We start from the raw sequence: 6,855 nt of genomic DNA, 5'->3' as shown, positions 1-6,855 counted from the left end.
TATTATTTGAAACTTTTATTCTCCAAAGAGCCCACCTTACCAGTTTGCTGGAAGCAAATTGTATGGGATAAATTAAAAGAGTGACAAGCAAGAAAACTACCTCCAAAAATATCAACTTCAGGGCCATGTTTCATTGTCATTTCACTCCTTTGATCTTGAAAGCTTACCAGTTCCCTTAGAGATCCCTGTCAAGATGCAAAGGTCTCTGGAAAAAGTAATATGGTAGGTCCATAGTTGTGAATACTAACAGCTCAGTTATCATTTATTCATTAACAACTTAGCAGGGATTAGCAAAAATGGGAGCTGGCTTTTTTCCTCTGAGGGATGATTTGTTATGCTCTAATTGGAAAAAAAAAAAGAAAAGAAAAGAAAGTTTAGGATGAGAAAAATTTTACTTCCTCCTTATTTTACCAAAACCCAGAATTCCTTAAAAAAAAAAAAAAAGTCAATCCAATGTACATAATTTTAACACAAGGGTCACATGTCTCAAAATACCCAAAACTGCATGGTAATGCCACAACTGGCTGTCAGGTAGATATTTTACTATAAATAACACTATTCAAGCTATTATTTACTATTACCTGCCATATCTAAGCATGGAACTGTCCATATGGGCTTATAACCTCAGTTTATAACCTCTGAGCCTGTGCATCATGCCTTACATATTAAATAGTCCACAGATCACCAACAGTCTAGGTATGAATGCTAATCTAGGCTAAACTAGGCTCTCTGTATCCTAATAATTCAGGATGAATGGAATGTTTGCCATAGAAAGGAGGTAGCTGTATCTTCCTTCTGTATTGTACAGCAATTCCTTATGTATTGCACAGCAATGAGCCTGCAGCTGAATTTCTATGTCTAGTTGAGGGCAAGCTGCTTCCAGAGTGTCACTGATGAGCTGGAGCATGTTCAAACAGGATGACCAGTATAATGAGGTGTCTGGAGATCGTGTCATCTGAGCAATTGTTGAAAGGGCAGGCAATTTTCTTTTCTTGTATTTTTTTTCTATAAGGCAGGAGTCCTCAGGGGAACAAGTGAGCTCTCTTCAAATATTTGAAGAACTGCTTTGTGAAAAATGAGTGAGATTTATTCTGATTAGACTAAAAAGTAGGCATAGATATCAGATCAATGCAGGGAGGAACTTTTTTATTGTACATGATTGCTGTACAATACAAAAGGGAATAAAAGTGGCCTACTGGACCAAAAGGACCTTGATAATTGCCATTTGGTAAACTGGCAGTTACAGTTTATTGAAATATGAATCTAATAGTAAAGAGAAAACCAGTAAATATCCATGTCATCTCAAAAGGATGTGATGAGGACTACACATTACTAAAAATTCAAGTCAGGGTGGGACAGAAAATGAACATATAAGCAATATGCCCATATAGTCAGACTTTCAGAAAGCATTTTAGATAATATTATCAAAATCTTACTTGCAAATTGCTCAGGCTATACATGCTCCCATGGTTGAAAGGCTGACAGTATCAACAAATGAATAGAAATGAATCTTGCTGAAGGAAGGTGTCATCTGCAGCCCCTGGAGTCAAACATTGTTTTACATCTTCATTATTGATTCAGAACAACTGATAAATGAAATCTGCAACTGATAATAAAGCAGGCAATGTCCCCAAACCTCACAGGAGAGGAAAATCAAAAAACACAAGCATAAAGATGTTAAAGATGCAAGCATTAGAGGGAACACAAATGAATTTGGCTCAGAAACACACTGGGAAATTTACCAGAAACTCGGATTTGGAGGTGCAGTTAGGAGAAACACACACACAAAAAATAGTTAGGCTAACAGAGCTGAACGAAGATATGAGAAAGCAAGCTGAGAGTGCATTTGTAATATTTATAAGTAATAAATAGGACAATGCTATTTGGGGTGACTTGCAGTATAAAACTGAGAGATGAAAATAGTTTTTAGATACCACTAAAATGGAGAGGGCTGGCCATTTTTAATCCCAGAAGGGTTTGAGACAAACTGGGAAGATCAATAGTGAGAGAAAAGGTTGGAAGCAGTTAGGTTAATACACATACAAAAATAGGCTGTGGCTCAGGAAAAATAGAGCAGTGACACACAGTGGCGATGCAAGTCAGGAGGAAAATAATAAATCTCAACCAGTGAGCCCAAGATATTCAGCACTTGTTCAGCCTGTTGGGTTCTCATGGTGACCGGTGCTTGAAAAAGCAACTGACAGCATTTCTCAAGGCAGAGAACAAGTGCCATTATCCCACTACTATGAAAACTACAGGAGATAGAAGGGCATGCTATTTGGTATAAACCAGCGTTTCTGAATTTTCAGGTGCAGAGCCTTTCTCCAAAGGCCAATGCAGAAATCAAACATTTATAGTAGATGAGCACAACAGCTCTGAGCCCAGGAGCCTATCCCTCAGCCTCCCTGGATAATTTTGAAAACCAATGGTAAGTGAAAGGGCAGAAGATCTCTTTTGTTATCTCCTTTGTTTCAAGCACCTCTAAGTGGCTGAAGACAACAGTTAGGCTTGTCTACAAAATGAATGAATTCAATTAATGACATCTCAGGCTCCTTCCTTCTCTGGTCACAGTAGGTATGGGCTCTGCAAATTTAGCAAATGAAAATCATGATATCCTAACTGGTACTAACTGAACTATGCCAGAAAACCAGACGTTCTTCCTAGGTCAGCTTCCACTTGCTCTCCAATATTTATTGCCCAGCCTTCTATCCAAGCTGCAAACATCTAGATTCTGCTTGCACACATCTTATAGTGGGAGGCTGACTCCCTTGTGAGGCAACACATTCTGTCTTTAGACAATTCTTAGTAAGTTCCTCCCTGCATTGATCTGATATCTAAGTCTACTTTTTAGTCTAATCAGAATAAAACTCACTCATTTTTCACAAAGCAGTTCCTCAAATACTTGAAGAGAGCTCACCTGTTCCCCTGAAGACTCTTGCCTTACAGAAAAAAAAATACAAGAGAAGAAAATTTCCTGCCCTTTCAACAATTGTTCAGACGACACGATCTCCAGACAGCTCATTACGCTGGTTATCCTGTTTGAACATGCTCTTGCTCATCAGTGACACTCTGGAAGCAGCTTGCCCTGAACTGGTCGCAGAACTTCAGCTGCAGGCTGATTGCTGTACAATACAGAAGGAACATTTATTACCTCCTTCTTGCAGCCTAAGGTCATATTAGCTGTCTCTGCGGCCACATCACACTGTTGCCACAAGCAGGATACAGTCATCACACAAACAGAGGATTATTACTTCTCAGCCACTCTTCTGCTATCTTCTTACTGAGTAAACATCGAGAACTCAGTCCTTTGTGATGTACTAATATGAAACAGGAAAGGGAAAGCCCTAGGTGGCCATGATATAGTTAGTGCCTACGTTTCCAAGAAGCCAACACCAGCGCAGGAGAGAAGTTATTTTTTGCCAGCTTCCCTGACTCGAACCCTATGTAACATCCTCAAAAAATTTTGATCCAAAAGCAATTTCTGTGTCCACTGCTCTATCAGGAGTGACTCATTTATTTACTCAGGCAGCCAATGTTTATTGGTATCCCCATCTATCCTTTCATATTTGGGGATTTAATTCCTAATTTGGACAACATTTTATAATTTCTAGGCTGTGGAAGAGAATGAGCAGTAGACAAATCCCACCTTCCTTCTATTTTTATTTACAAAATTTTGTTTACAAAATTGCAGGGCATTCAACCAGTTCTCTCTAAAGCAGTACTGTATGCTCCCCTTCCTTCACAGGAGAACAATTATTACTCATCATACCTGCTGCATCTAAAACATAAAAGGTATGTTCTAAAGTGTTTTGTCCTAGATACCAGAAGTCATTTTCCATCTCACCTGTGAAGAGCTTCTCCTTGCCCATGATGCCATTGGCTTTCTGGAAGACAGGTTAGTCTTCTGAGTCTCCCAAACCTCTATGCATATCCTAACTGTGTAATTTTCAAGCCATGGAATATTTGGCAAGTTGCCTAACTTCTCTGAGCTTCTTGTCCTCACAGATAAAAATACGTTTTATCATATTCAAGTGGCCAAAACTCATTATATGTTTACTTTTCTTCTTCTACCTGGAATTTTCTGAGTGTGGTTCAACCAGGTGACATACAGGTGTCCTCATTACAGTCTTCACAGCTGAAAGGCACTAGCTATTATGGAATTTCAGGTGTTTCCTTCACAGCCCTTAAGCCTCTCCTGACCCCATGGGCTGTAGAACATGCAGAAACACTTTAGCCACCAGAAGGCCAGTCTCCAGGACTACTCATTCTTTCCCAAGTCTAGGATGCTGCCATGTTGAAATGTTTCTTCAGTCTTTCATTCAGTCATCCACATGCAGCAATGATTACTTGAGCAATTAGTCCATGACAGGCTCCAGGATAAACACAGGAGATATAAACACTCTGTGCCAAACAGTGTATATTTTAGCAGGTGAAGACCAACGTGGTTTTCAAAAGTGCTAAATGAAATAATATGTTATTTGTTTAGATTAGAAGGAGATTTAAACATACAGATAAAAAAGTTTTATGCTCAAACTTCCATAACACATAACTGTGATGCCCTAAGCACTATATTTCTTCTCCCAAGTCCCTGGTAGTGCTGGACATCTGGAGTTTTCATTCTCAGCCATTTCCCACAGTGATTTGCATCTAAAAGTTTTGTCTTCCCTAGGGCCCTTTCACTCTTTTGTTCCTCCTTCCTAGAGAGCTATAATTTATCCCTGTGCCATGTCCTCCAAATTCACCTGCAAAAGAAACTTCTGGCTACCAGGCTCCACCCATGTCAGAAGGTAATTGGAGGTTATAAACAAAGTCCATACAAAGTATGAAAGAGCACAAAGGAAAGAATATTTGCTTCTAAGTGAGTGGAAGTAGAGTGTGAGAAAGAGAACGATGTCATAGAAAACATTTGTAAAGTAGATCACAAACTGTGAGGAGAGAGAAACCTATTTGCCTTATTTGCCATTGTTCTCCTTGGAGCATAACTGGATCAATCAAGTGTTCAGATGCTAAAGAAGATTGAGACATAAAATTTGTCTACATTTTCAGGCAAAGAGAAAAGAAAAAGAAAAAAACTCCGTGTCTTACCCAGAAGACACAGAGTTCATGACTCTTCTCAAATGAAAAGTCAGGGAAATTTGCTGCATTCAGAGTCTAGTTAGAATAAATTTTGTGTAGCCCCTGACACTAATCCCACGTAGCTTTACCCCACACTACCTTGGCCCTTGGCAGAGAGGACTATCTCAAGAGTTAAAGTTTTGTTTGGTGAGCTTAGATTTAAAAGTTAAGACATTATGTGGTCTTAAGGATGCTTCCCTCAGGCTATAATGGAATCTAGCGGGCCGTCATCTGTCACTCAAAGTAAAGCAAATTATTACTTGGATTTCAGTTGTCCTTGCATGCATCTTTTGTTCTCACCGACACCAAGTTTGAAGTAGAGCTCAGCACATCTTTCCATTTCTGAGAAGAGAAAAAAAAAAATCTGCTCACATCCAGAATGTTAGTGAACGTAGGGATTACAGGAAGATTTAGGAATGGAGATGAAAAGGTTTTATGACGAAAGTTTCTTTTTTAAAACTTTTTATTTCCATAGGATTTTGGGGAACAGGTGGTATTTGGTTATGTAAGTAAGTTCTTTAGTGGTGATTTGTGAAATTATGGTGCACCCATCACCCGAGCAGTATACACTGCACCCAATTTGCGGTCTTTTATGTTCAAACTTTCATAGCAAATAACTGTGATGCCCTCAGTAATGTGTTTCTCCTCCCAAGTCCCTGTTAGTGCTGGACACATAGAGTTTTCTTTCTCAGCCATTTCCCACGGTGGTTCCCATCTAAAAGTCTTGTCTTCTTAAGAGCTCTTTCGATCTTTTGCTCCTCCTTCCTAGAGAGCTATAATTTATCCCTCTGCCTTGTCCTCCAAATTCACCCGTTCTTGCTCAAGCCCAGATGTAAAAAAGAATCTTCTGGCTACCAAGGCCCACCCACCTTAGAAGGCAACTGAAGGTTATACATAATAGTCACAAGAAATGTATATTTACTTCATCACATGTTACTAAACAGCATTGAAAGTTTGACAAAACTTTCTTCTTTCAGTATTTCTCATTTCCACATTTCCGATTTTCATTATTTTACACCATGGAGCTTGAAATTTGAAATATTTGGATTTATTTCAAATCTTATATCTACTTCTCACCTACTTGAATGTGACCTTGAGAAAGGTATTTAACTTTTTTTTTTAATTTTTTTTTCCCAAGACAGAGTCTTACTCTGTTGCCCAGTCTGGAGTACAGTGGTGCCATCTCGGATCACTGCAACCTCCGCCTGCTGGGTTCAAGCAGCCTCAGCCTCCAGAGTAGCTGGGACTACAGGCATGTGCCATCACGCCCAGCTAATTTTTGTATTTTTAGTAGAGACCAGTTTTCACCATGTTGGCCAGGCTGATCTCGAAATCCTGACTTCATGATCCACCTGCCTCGGCCGCCCACAGTCCTGGGATTACAGGCATGAGCCACCACACCCGGCCGTATTTAACCTCTTAATGTCTTGGTTTCCTAATCTCTTTAAAGTGTAAATGTATTGATTCTATGAATGTTGTTGAGAGATTACTGTCTACTATTTGTGCATTTATTCATTCATGAAATAATTATTTTATATATTCATATGAGTGCTTATCGGTTTGTATGACATAATTAATATAAAACTCTTAATATAGAGTTTATTATGTTGAGTAAGCCATTACCATTATTACTATTTTTTTCATTTTTGAGAAAAAGCCTATAAAAATTTCCACTACTTCGAAAATGTATTCCTCCTGATCTTTGAACTTGTATTCATTCAGCAATTGCCTTCTGTTTCT

General features: G+C 38.9%; 1 long non-coding RNA gene across 1 annotated transcript; it reads right to left on the bottom strand.

Annotated features, from left to right (window-relative positions):
* Positions 1-249: 249 nt before the first annotated feature.
* On the bottom strand, positions 250-3,122 carry LOC107986601 (uncharacterized). Its single transcript, XR_001744150.2, has 3 exons — positions 2,918-3,122; positions 1,437-1,540; positions 250-339 (listed from the first exon to the last, which is right to left on the bottom strand). It is a non-coding gene; the product is annotated as an uncharacterized LOC107986601 (long non-coding RNA).
* Positions 3,123-6,855: the final 3,733 nt, after the last annotated feature.

This window comes from Homo sapiens, chromosome 6 (assembly GCF_000001405.40).
Source record: "Homo sapiens chromosome 6, GRCh38.p14 Primary Assembly".
Classification (NCBI taxonomy): Eukaryota; Metazoa; Chordata; class Mammalia; order Primates; family Hominidae; genus Homo; species Homo sapiens.
Note: the sequence above shows the minus strand (reverse complement) of the source record. Positions and strands in the feature narration are given on the sequence as shown.